The sequence below is a fragment of the Homo sapiens genome, chromosome 4 (genome assembly GCF_000001405.40).
Source record: "Homo sapiens chromosome 4, GRCh38.p14 Primary Assembly".
NCBI lineage: Eukaryota > Metazoa > Chordata > Mammalia > Primates > Hominidae > Homo > Homo sapiens.
The window spans coordinates 40,249,829-40,261,778 of NC_000004.12; the positions used below are offsets into that span (position 1 = coordinate 40,249,829).

Genomic DNA, 11,950 nt, shown 5'->3' on the forward strand with positions numbered 1-11,950 from the left:
AAAACTTGTTAAAAAGTGGATCATAGGATGAAAAATTGGCACAGACATAAACACCACTTGTAACATTGTTAGCTAGAGTAAGATGAATAAAACGATACTTAGGGATAATGATAATAGCAACAAAATACATTGGAATGCCTGCTGGTTCCAGCACCCCTGGTAGGTAGTTTAGGTACGTCATCTCATTTAATGCTCATAACAATTCACAAGGTAGATATTCTCTTCCTGTTGATAAGACACTGAGGCTGGGTGTGGTGGCTCATGCTTGTAATCCCAGCACTTTGGGAGGCCAAGGGTGGTGGATCACCTGAGGCTAGGAGTTCAAGAACAGCCTGGATAACATGGTGAAACCCCATCTCTATTAAAAATACAAAAACTGGGCCTGGCACGGTGGCTCACGCCTGTAATCCCAGCACTTTGGGAGGCCGAGGCGGCTGTATCACGAGATCAAGAGATCGAGGCCATCCTGGCCAACATGGTGAAACCCTGTCTCTACAAAAATACAAAAATTAGCAGGGCATGGTGGCAGGTGCCTGTAGTCCTGGCTACTCGGGAGGCCAAGGCAGGAGAATCACTTGAACCCAGGAGGCAGAAGTTGCAGTGAGCCGAGATTGTGCCACTGCCCTCCAGCCTGGGGGATAGAGCGAGACTACGTCTAAAAAAAAAAAAAACAAAAGAACAAAAAAACCACAAAATGTCCCAGTTTTACCAAGTAATTTTGGCATAATTAAACTTGACCAGCTAAAAATTATATCTATAATTATATTAAGTGTTCATTACACTTGCTAATTTAAGATGGTGACAATGATCCTTGTTACATACTGCAGGGAAATGGTGATGATGAGAGCTTGGCAGTCTTCCTACGGGAGCTTCCTTTTGTCATTCTTCCCATAATAAAATCTCAGGTAATTCACGTCCCACTGTCCTGGCTGCTCTCTGCTTGCTGCCCCCACTCTTCCATTTCCATCTTTCACCTTTCCCTGCCCTCCTCTGGGCCTGGGAGACTAACCGTGTGGACTGAATCACCCGCATCTCTTCCTGCCTGGCTTCCACTTGAATTCAGCCAGTGGACACTCTGGCAGGAAATCAGAGGGTAGCAGGGGAGAACAGTTGGCTGTTTTTTCCCTATGCGTTTCTGGCTTTGGTGCTACTTATTTGGCAATAGTCATGAGTCCCTCCGTGGCTCCAGCTCCTACTGGGAAGTTTCTCTTCCATGGCTCCAGCTTCGGCCGGGCGTGGTGGCTCACGCGTGTAATCCCAGCAATTTGGGAGGCCGAGGCGGGTGGATCATGAAGTCAGGAGATCGAGCCCATCCTGGCTAACACGGTGAAACCCCGCCTGTACTAAAAATACAAAAAAAAAATTAGCCGGGCGCGGTGGCAGGCGCCTGTAGTCCCAGCTACTCGGGAGGCTGAGGCAGGAAAATGGCGTGAACCTGGAAGCCAGAGCTTGCAGTGAGCGGAGATCGCGCCAGTGCACTCCAACCTGGGCGACAGAGCCAGACTCTGTTTCAAAAAACAAAACAAAACAAAACAAAACAAAACAAAACAAAACAACATGGCTCCAGCTTCTACTGGGCTCTAGGGCAGTGCTTCCTCTCCTCGCCCTCAACCCTATGGGGGGTAATGGCTTCCTGCTGGTCCTTGTCTTTGGATGCAGCAGCATCCTTAATGTGGTCCTTTGATCCTGACCTAAGTAGTGCTTTCATTCAAGTCTCTTCATTTGAATCACCTGGAATAAATTTCATTTCCTGTAGGACTCTGAGTGATACACTCATTAGTCATCTACATAGTCTGTCATTAAATGATTACTCAAATCCCTACTGAAGGATATGAGTTGCAGGTCTGGGCAACTGCCTTTTCCTGAGCCTCAAAACCTACGAAATACCACTCTTAACATCTATTTGCTTGGAAGAGAAAGGAGGAGTTTGGTTAATTCTAATCTGAATGAACAAAAGAATAGTTCTGGGATAGCAACATTCAAAAATTGTGGATCTTCTAACAATATATTTATATTCAAGAAGCTCTGCTATTATCCATAATATATAAAGAACAACTATAAATCAATAAGAAAAATAGCCCAGTTTTAAACCGGATATTTCCCAGAAGAAAAAATACACATGACCAATAAGCACTGGAAAAGGTGCTTCTTCTCACTTGAACTCAGGGGAATGAAAACAAAACCTATCCACAAAATACCATTTTCAAACCACCATATTGGCAAGGGAATTCAAAAATATGACATTGGCTGGGCATGGTGGCTCATGCCTATAATCCCAGCACTTTGGGAGGCTGAGCCTGCCCAACATGGTGAAACCCCGTCTCTACTAAAAATACAAAATTAGCCTGGCATGGTGGCGCATGCCTGTAATCCCAGCTACTCGAGAGGCTGAGGCAGGAGAATAGCTTGAACCTGGGAGGTGGAGGTTGCAGTGAGCCGAGATTGAGCCACTGCACTCCAGCCTGGGTTACAGAGCAAGACTCTGTCTCAAAAAAAAAAAAAAAAAAAAAAAAAAAAATTAGCAGATATGGTGGCATGTGCCTGTAGTCCTAGCTACTGGGGAGGCTGAGGCAGAAGAATCACTTGAACCTGGGAGGCAGAGATTGCAGTGAGCTGAGATCACATCATTGCACTCCATCCTGGGCAACAGAGCAAGACTCTGTCTCAAAAAAAAAAAAAAAAAAAAAGAAAAAGAAAAGAAAAGCATGACACTATTGACCATTAATAAGGAAATGAAACAATAGGAACTCAGATGCTGCTTGCAGGAGTGTAAATTGGCATAAAATTTTGGCATTAGTAGTGTTGAATATCCTATACTCTTAACCCAGAAATTTCATGCTCTAGAGATATGTTGGCATAGATTTTCTGGGAGACATATACGAAAATGTTATTAGTAGCATTGTAGATAATAGCAAAAACTAGAAATGACCCAATGGCATCAACAGAGAATGGCTAAAAAATGGTGTATTCACCCATGGAATATTATGCAGCAATAAAAAAGAATACATTTTAGCTATACATATCAATATGAACGAGCATAGACAATGTTGAAAGAAAAAAGCAAGTAGTAAAATAATATATGGAGTATGATTTCACTTATATGAAGTTCAAATGCAAGCAAAACATAATAGTGTTAGGGTTAAAAATGGTTTTCTGCCAAGTGTGATGGCTCACGCCTGTAATCCCAGCACTTTGGGAGGCTGAGGCAGGCGGATCACGAGGTCAAGAGATGGAGACCATCCTGGCCAACATGGTGAAACCCTGTCTCTACTAAAAATACAAAAATCAGCTGGGCGTGGTGGCGCATGCCTGTAGTCCCAGCTACTCAGGAGGCTGAGGCAGGAGAATTGCTTGAACCAGGGAGGGGGAGGTTGCAGTGAGCTGAGATCGCGCCAGTGCACTCTAGCCTGGAGATAGAGCGAGACTTCGTCTCAAAAAAAAAAAAATTGTTTTAAACACAGAAATCATTAAAGTAAGTGATTACCTCTTCTGGTCCCGGGGTGTCACAGGTATTGGTAATGTTCTATTTTTAAGTTTGGGACATAGGCACTTGAGTGTTCATTGATTTTTTCCTATTATTTATTCTTCAAAATATCCAGATATATTTTATGTATTCTTTTGTGTGTATGATATAATTAATTAAAAAAATTTAAAGTTTGGGTTCTAAAGCAAAACTGTCTGAACTTGAATCTCAGCTCTGCCACTCACTAGGCTCTACAGCCTTGTGTAAGTTAACTAACCTCTTTGTGTGTCAGTTTCCTCATCTGTAAAATGGAGAAAATAACATAGTGAGCATTAAAGGAGCTAATGTGGGTAAAGGCTACACTATGTCTAGTACAATAAATGGCAGCTATGTCATTCTACTGTTATACACCTCAGAGCTGGCAGGATTCTACTGTTTATGGATGAAGACACAGGTATTGAGACCATTGCCTGACCTGCCTAAGCCCACAAATTGGTGGTAGACCCAGACCACCTCACTCGTCCTACTCTTTGCTGCTCTTTTCTGTAAACTTCCTAAGAAGAGAGGAACCTGGGGTTTTTACTTGTTCGCTTTTCATACACTTGCTTTTCAACCCATGTTTGCTGTACTTGAATTCTTTCTAGTATTGTTTCTTAGCACAAATAGGTAACTTTCAATATCTCACAGAAGGGATCAACAGAGGCTCAGTCCCTTATCGTATGTGAAGACATCTCCATTCACTTGTTTATTTACTCAGAATGTACTGAGTTCTTTAGGTTCTTTACGGGGTTTATTCAGAGAAAGTGGAGGACTCAGTGACTCACAGAGCATCTCTCCATAGCTGGACTTGCCGTGTTGTTTCCTAATTATTTACTTGTGTTTCTATCATTGCACCTTGGCCTTAGTGTCAAGCTGTGCAATAGCCAAAGTTCCCGCTTTCATAGAGTTTAAGGATTTAATTAGGGATAGGGGTGTGAACAGTAGTTATAAAATAAACAGATAAGATCAATGTAGCTGGGTGCAGTGGCTCACGCCTGTAATCCCAGCACTTTGGGAGGCCGAGGCGGGTGGATCATGAGGTCAGGAGATCGAGACCATCCTGGCTAACACAGTGAAACCCTGTCTCTACTAAAATACAAAAAATTAGCCAGGCATGGTGGTGGGCGCTTGTAGTCCCAGCCACTTGGGAAGCTGAGGCACGAGAATCGCTTGAATCCAGGAAGCGGAGGTTTCAGTGAGCCGAGATCATGCAACTGCACTCCAGCCTGGGCGACAGAAAGAGACTCTGTCTCAAAAAAAAAAAAAAGAACAATGAACAATGTAGATGGATGTTCGGTGCTATTAAGAAAATAAATTAGGAAAAGGGAGAGAGGATATTTAGCATTTTGGTAGGATAGGGAGGCCTGATAGAGCAGAGGCCCGAATGATGTTGACAGACCACATCAGTGATCTGGTTTTAACACAAACAACCTCTTTGTAAAAGAAAGCAGGCTTAGGTTTTTCCCTATTGCCCTGCGAGGGACACACATGCTTTTTACCATGATGAGTGTTCAATATTGCACAGCACCCTCCAGCAGTGACTGCCTTCATTGGGGATTCTAATCCATCTGTCTGCCTGCTGGGAATGACTGAATTGGGGCAGTTTGAGGGGATGGATTATCAAATAGAGCAGAACAGAAAATTGGCATGATTCATAGAACCAGGGTGGTGCTGGGGGGTTACACAGGCAAGCGGTTTCTAATGGATTCTGCACAAAAGGAAGGAAATGACTAGAACTCAGGGCCTACATAGGACTCAGAGTGAAGACCTCGCCTGCAGGGCCCTGAGGAGAGATTCCAAGAATCTGCAGGCTGAGCATGTGTGCTTGTGGCAGCACAGGGTTGAGAAGCAGCGAGGCTGCAGCTTGCTGGAGCCCAACTATTGATGCAGTTGAACGTCCTTTGTAGCCTTGTTTAAATAGAACATAATAAGGCGGCACAGTCTGTCTGTAGAACTTTTACACTAATTGAAACAGATATGGGTGCAATTTACAAGTGAGTCACCAGAGCTAACCCAAGGGCAGTTGTTGCATCGTAGATCTGTTGTCTTGGGGAATTGACTTACTGAGGTGTTGGACTGAAGATATTTTTTTAAAAAGTTTTCAGACAGCCCTAGGTAAATCACTGCACATGTGTACTTCTCAAATACATCTCCTCCCTCTCCCCTTTCTCTTCCTCCTCTTCATCGCTTCTGTCTGCAGCCCGGGGGTACCTCTCTCACCCAACTTTGATTGCTCTAGCATCAAACAGTGCTGTGCCCATAGTAATGCTGAACCACATTTCTTAAGTGAATCAATCCTCACAGTCATCAACTCCACACATTAATTCATTTAGTACTTTAAAATTTTCCAAAGTGCTTTTCCTTGTCTTATTATAACAATTGCCAGCATTTGGTCAGCACTCTAGAGGTTATAAAGTACTTTGTGTACACTGTCTCCTATGACATCACAGCAATGCTGTGGGTTATTATTACTTGACTCATTTTGCAGGCAAGGAAGCTAAGGTTCAGGAATGCTAAATGACTCATCTGTGACCATGTAACTAATGCTTGGCAGAATCAGGATTTGTACTTAGATCTCTTGCTCCAAACTCCCTTTTTTCCATTCGATGATGCTTTCATCTGATGCTCTGGATGACCCTGTGAGGTGTTAGTGTAAGAGATGAGGTCCAGGAGGGTGACATGGCTCATCCAGGCCACACACATGCACTCACTGACCAGAAGTGAGGTCTTCCATCCAAGCCTTGGCTGTCACTATTTTCACCCTTATTGTCAGAGCATATTTTTTTAACTGAACCCACTTACTGTGTGGTTGTCTGCTAGGCATTCATTGAGTAAACAGATATTGATGCTATCTCTGTTTAACAAATGGAAAAGTCAGAAAGAAGGAAATAATCCATAAATCCAGGCCTCAAACTGTATTTACCTTACTTCTCTGGATACTGCATGCAAACCCATACAATTTTTTTTTAATCTCTTGTTAGTGTAGATCCTTTCATTGAGCTCAAACCTAAATCAACATGGCAGAACATTTTCCCCGGCTTCTCTGTTATTTACTGGACTCCCATTTTTTGGAGTTGAAGGGGACCTCAGGGAGGATTTAGCCCAATCCTATCATCTTACAGATGAAGAAACTGACTCTCCTCTTTGCCCAAGACACACAGATGGCTTTGGGCAAGTCGGGACTTGAGGGCCAGGCTTTGGCTCCCAAGGGCTCTCACTTGTTCCTGCAGGCCTCAGAACTTCCAGCCTCTAACATGGAGCTTTGGACTCTGCCTATTCGTTTCAGGTTTCTGTGATGGAAGTTTAAAGGCTGCTGGGTGTGGTGGCTCATGCCTGTAATCCCAGCGTTTTGGGAGGCTGAAGCGAGCAGATCACCTGAGGTCAGGATTTCCAGACCAGCCTGGCCAACATAGTGAAACCCCGTCTCTACTAAAAATACAAAAGTTAGCTGGGCGTGGTGGCAGGCACCTGTAGTCCCAGCTACTTGGGAGGCTGAGGGAGGAGAATCACTTGAACCCAGGAGGGAGAGGTTGCAGCGAGCCAAGATCATACCACTGCACTCCATCCTGGGTGACAGAGAGAGACTCCATCTCAAGAAAAAAAAAAAGAAAGAAAATGTCAGAGACAAAGGCTAGCACATGAAACCAGTGAGTAGAGAACAGGAAGACACAGGACACGCCAGCCAGCCAGAGGCACTGCCTGGCTTATTAGCAATAAGCTCAACTGCTAGAGCTGTGTGTCCTGAACAACTCAGGCTGGGGCTTTGTGTGTTCAGGGGCACCCCAGAGATACTCTCCCACCCCTTTCCCCAAATGCTCCTCAGGAAAATCTGCAATCTAGCCTGGTTGGCACAAGTGAAAGAAATCATAACGGAAAGAGATTCTTTATATTGATGTCTTTCTATGTCTATCCTAAGAAAACCCACAGATATTGCACATTCATTGGTGAAAAGATTAGAAGCAATGAAACAAAATGATAATAAAAAACACTTCAATAGCTACTGTTACATCTTTTTTTGTCTCTACCATTCCAGACTTTTTCTTATCCACATATGTGTGTATTTTTACAAAAATAGGTTCGTATGGTGCAATCTGATTTGCAATCTACTTTTTTCATTTATTATATTGTGAACAGCTTTCAGTATCAGTATGTTAACGAATATACATACTCCTACACTGTGTAATGGCAGTGTGTTAGCCTAGATTTTTCCAAGGAACCTGTAACCATGTTTGTTAATTGTATCCATGGGCTTCTAAGGGGTGTGTGTGTGTGTGTATGTGTGCATGCACACATGCATATATATATATACACACACACAAATAGATATATACATACACATATATAAATAGCCTTGCTTAGACTCATAGTAATAACCTCAGATATATCCAGCACTATGTACTTTACATATATTAATTTATTTACTTATTGTAAGCACCCAAGATAAAAGTAGAATTTTCATCCACCCTTTACAGATGAGGAAACTTACTCAAGGTAAGACACTGGCATGTGGTAGAGTCAGGATTCAGTCCCGGCAACCTGGCCCCCAGCCTGGCCTCCTGACTACCACCCTTCCAATAATGGGCCCACCTATTGGGTTGCACATTCTAACTCCTTGGTTACATAAACTGGGAGGGCTTATAGGGAACATCCCAATCCTGGAAAGAAAAATCTTAGTATGACAGATGTAAAGTCCAGAGAGTTTTGTTTTTTTTTTCTGAGTCTTACTCTGTTGCCCAGGCTGGAATGCAGTGGTGTGATCTTGGCTCACTGCAACCTCCGCCTCCCGGGTTCAAGCAATCCTCCCACCTTAGCCTCCTGAGTAGCTGGGATTACAGGTGTCTGCCACCATGCCCAGCTAATTTTTGTATTTTTGGTAGAGACAGGGTTTTACCATGTTGGCCAGGCTGGTCTCCAACTCGTAACCTCAGGTGTTCTGCCTGCTTCGGCCTCCCAAAGTGCTGGGATTACAGGCATGAGCCACCGCGCCTGGCCACAGAGATTTCTTTAACTTCCTTTCAAGTCACCTGCACGTTCCTTCCAGAGTGTGGCGACCATCGGCCGGCTCTCCTCTCTCTGTCTTTGCTGCTCCTTCGCATCCCCACCCCGGCCTCCATCTTTTTCTGCCGTCCTTCTCTGCCTTTCCTGCAAGGTTGGCCTCCATGGTGAAGGTGCTGTATCAGATTCCCTTTGTCCCCGGAGGAGGCTCAAGCCTTGCGGATGACCCAGAGTAGAACAGCTAGGAAACCAACACGCCTCCCTCTTGATACTCTTGACACCAGTCAGAAGAAACTGCTGTGTGTTTTAGGCTCGCCTAGTCACTTTCCTCCATTTTAACAGACTTCCCCCCAGGAAGAAAGGGGAGGGGGCCGAGGGGAGGAAGGAAAGGAGTGGGGAAGGGGGGAAGAAAACCCCCATCCTGCCACAACACCGAGCCTCGGATTTCGCTCTGCTTCGATGCTAAGGTCTCTGATTCTCCCTGGTTCTTTCTGAAGCTTGGGGGTGGGGTAGGGAGAACACGTGCTGAGGCTTCAAGCTGCAGCACGGCTCTAAGAAGCTTCAGATGGGGAACCCTGAATGGACACCTCTAACTTCCCTCTCCTCCAGAAAAAGACTGGTCAGCTGAGGTGGGGCTGTTGTTAGGTTTGACTGGCTAAAAGTTTGTGTAGAGGGGACTCAGGGTTCCTTTCTCTGCCAGGGCATTTTCTTAGGAATGGAACCTCTCAGCTGGGCACAGTGGCTCACGCCTGTAATCACAGCACTTTGGGAGGCCGAGGCAGGCAGATCAAGGGGTTCAAGAGATCAAGACCATCCTGGCCAACATGGTGAATCCCCATCTCTACCAAAAATACAAAAACATTAGCTGGGCGTGTTGGCACACATTTGTAATCCCAGCTACTCGGGAGGCTGAGGCAGAAGAATTGCTTGAACCCAGGAGGGGCAGGCTGCAGTGAGCTGAGATCGAGCCACTGCACTCCAGCCTGGTGACAGAGAGACTCCATCTCAAAAAAAAAAAAAAAAAAAAAAAAAGGGAATGGAACCTCTCATATGCTGAAGTCTGCCCTTCCCAGCGGGTCTATTATCATCTGATTAACTGCTGTGGTGAAGAATCTTAAAATAAAACAAACAAACAAAACCCAATCACTACAGCTGTATACTGTTTAAAAGCACAGTGAATTCCAAGTCGGGGGGGTGAGGGGGAAGGACAAAGAATTCGTAGGAAAAAAAAAGAAAAAACAAAAACCAAGAACATATTAAAATGTAAATCTATTTTTTTATTATTATTATGACGCGGCATCGTCTTGGGTAAATACCCAGGGTTCATCATCTTGCGCCAAGAAGATTCAGGACATGCACACACACAAGGAATTTAGGAGTGGAGGTTTAATAGGCAAAATAAAGAGAAAGGAGAATAGCTCTTTCTCTAGTGAGAGAGAGTGCCTTCCATAAGGAAAGACAAGCCAGTGGCGGAGTGCACCGGATTTTATAGGCAGGCTGGAGGAGGCGGTGTCTGATTTACATAGGGCCCACAGATTGGTTTGATCAGGTGTGACGTTTACATAGTGCTCGGTGAAGGCTGGCCACCCCACCCTAATCTTACCATGCCATTAAATGGGCTTTCCACTTGACTTGCGCCATATTGTCTGCTCCTTACTATACACATGGCTGGCAAAGAGAAGGGAAGATGGAGCCGCCATTTTGAACATGCCTAGTCCCAGGTAGCTTTTTTCCTGCTGGCATTCACCTGTGCAAGCTTTCCACTTGCTTGTCTATGTTTGCAGCTCGATTTTACAGGCTGTTCTGTGTTAGAAAATGATTTTGGGGCTACTTTTCATTAAAAAGGAAAACCTTGCCAGGCGCTGTGGCTCACGCCTGTAATCCTGGCGCTGTGGCTCACGCCTGTAATCCCAGCACTTTGGGAGGCCGAGGCAGGTGGATCACGAGATCAGGAGATCGAGACCTTCCTGGCTAATACGGTGAAACCCTGTCTCTACTAAAAACATACAAAAAATTAGCCAGACGTGGTGGCAGGCGCCTGTAGTCTCAGCTACTCGGGAGGCTGAGGCAGGAGAATGACGTGAACCCGGGAGGCAGAGCTTGCAGTGAGCCGAGATCGCGCCACTGCACTCCAGCCTGGGGGACAGAGGGAGACTCCGTCTCAAATAAAATAAAATAAAATAAAATAAATAACAAAAAGGAAAACCTTACCGAGGACTCCCATACCCTCACTAACTGCCTAAGCAGTTTCTTCTTAACTCCTTTATTATTATAATTATTTGAGAAGGAGTTTCACCCTTGTCACCCAGGCTGGAGTGCGATGGTGCAATCTGGACGCACTGCAACCTCCGCCTCTCGGGTTCAAGCGATTCTCCTGCCTCAGCCTCCCAAGTAGCTGGGACTACAGGCACCTGCCACCATGCCTGGCTAATTTTTGTATTTTTAGGAGAGACAGGGTTTCACCGTGTTGGCCAGACTGGTCTGGAACTCTTGACCTCAGGTGATCCCCCTGCCTGAGCCTCCCAAAGTGCTGAGATTACAGGCATGAGCCACCGTGCTGGCCGAACTCCTGCATTATTTAGACTCAACATACATTGTCCAGTTGCTATAAAACTTTTTCCATATGTCATTCTCTCGATTTCTGTGCTTACCTTTGTCAACCTAAAGGAGGAAATTGAGGCAAAATTAATATAGAGTCCATTTGGGCCAAGGCTAAGGACTGCAACCGAGGAAACACTGAGAAGTTCTCCTGAGAATAAAGGAGAGGTTTTTAAGGAAAAAAGGATCAATCAGGAGAGAGGGCAATTGCAAAAGTTGTTTTTTCAGGAATTTTTGCAGGGTTACAGGGATAACATTGATTAGTAATTGACTATATGTTGTTGAACTATAGTGTGTGAATAATGTTGTCTAGCATATGGCATATGTTAGGTAAATTTATGGGTACTTGGTGGAGACATTCAGTCTAGAGTCTATATAGCAGGAGGCTTCAAAATAAATACTTAGCTCAAGGTGGTAGTTGCTGCCAGACTCTGGCTGAGAGATGGATGAAGGAAGTACGCTGACACAGGTGTTTTACCTGACAGCGTGGCTAGGGGACTGCCGCTTAGCACCACCAGCAAGAGTGCAGCAGCAGCAGCTCCCATAAGCCAGAGACACTCGCATTTATTTAGTACAGATTTAACGACAAAGGCTTGGAGCAAACACAATTTGGGGTGATTAACATTGTCGACCCCCCCAAGTAGAGAGCAGTCCTGCACACGAATGAGCAAAGGTTGGTTTCTGGAGACATAAGTAAACAGATTTATCTAGATAAGTTCCTTTACATTCCCCTGTTATCTGCCTTTTGTTCTCAGCCCCCGGACAAGAGAATTTGGCTGCCTTCAGCCATAATCCTCTCCTGAAGCTTTTGCAAAACCTCCCTGCCTTCTAAGAAGGTTTGTGTCTTTCCCTATA

The 11,950-nt window shown here is 44.8% G+C and overlaps 2 annotated features.

Annotated features, from left to right (window-relative positions):
• Window positions 752–1,951: an enhancer, noted in NCBI's record as "P300/CBP strongly-dependent group 1 enhancer chr4:40252200-40253399 (GRCh37/hg19 assembly coordinates)". NCBI's record gives its function as "activates an origin of replication core promoter dependent on BRD2, BRD4, P300/CBP, MED14 and CDK7 cofactors, with strong dependence on P300/CBP, by STARR-seq in HCT116 cells {active_cell/tissue: HCT116}" and the evidence as "EXISTENCE:reporter gene assay evidence [ECO:0000049][PMID:35650434]".
• Window positions 8,204–8,982: an enhancer, noted in NCBI's record as "H3K27ac hESC enhancer chr4:40259652-40260430 (GRCh37/hg19 assembly coordinates)". NCBI's record gives its function as "activates a minimal SCP1, AML or CMV promoter by ChIP-STARR-seq in primed H9 embryonic stem cells {active_cell/tissue: H9 hESC(primed)}" and the evidence as "EXISTENCE:reporter gene assay evidence [ECO:0000049][PMID:30033119]".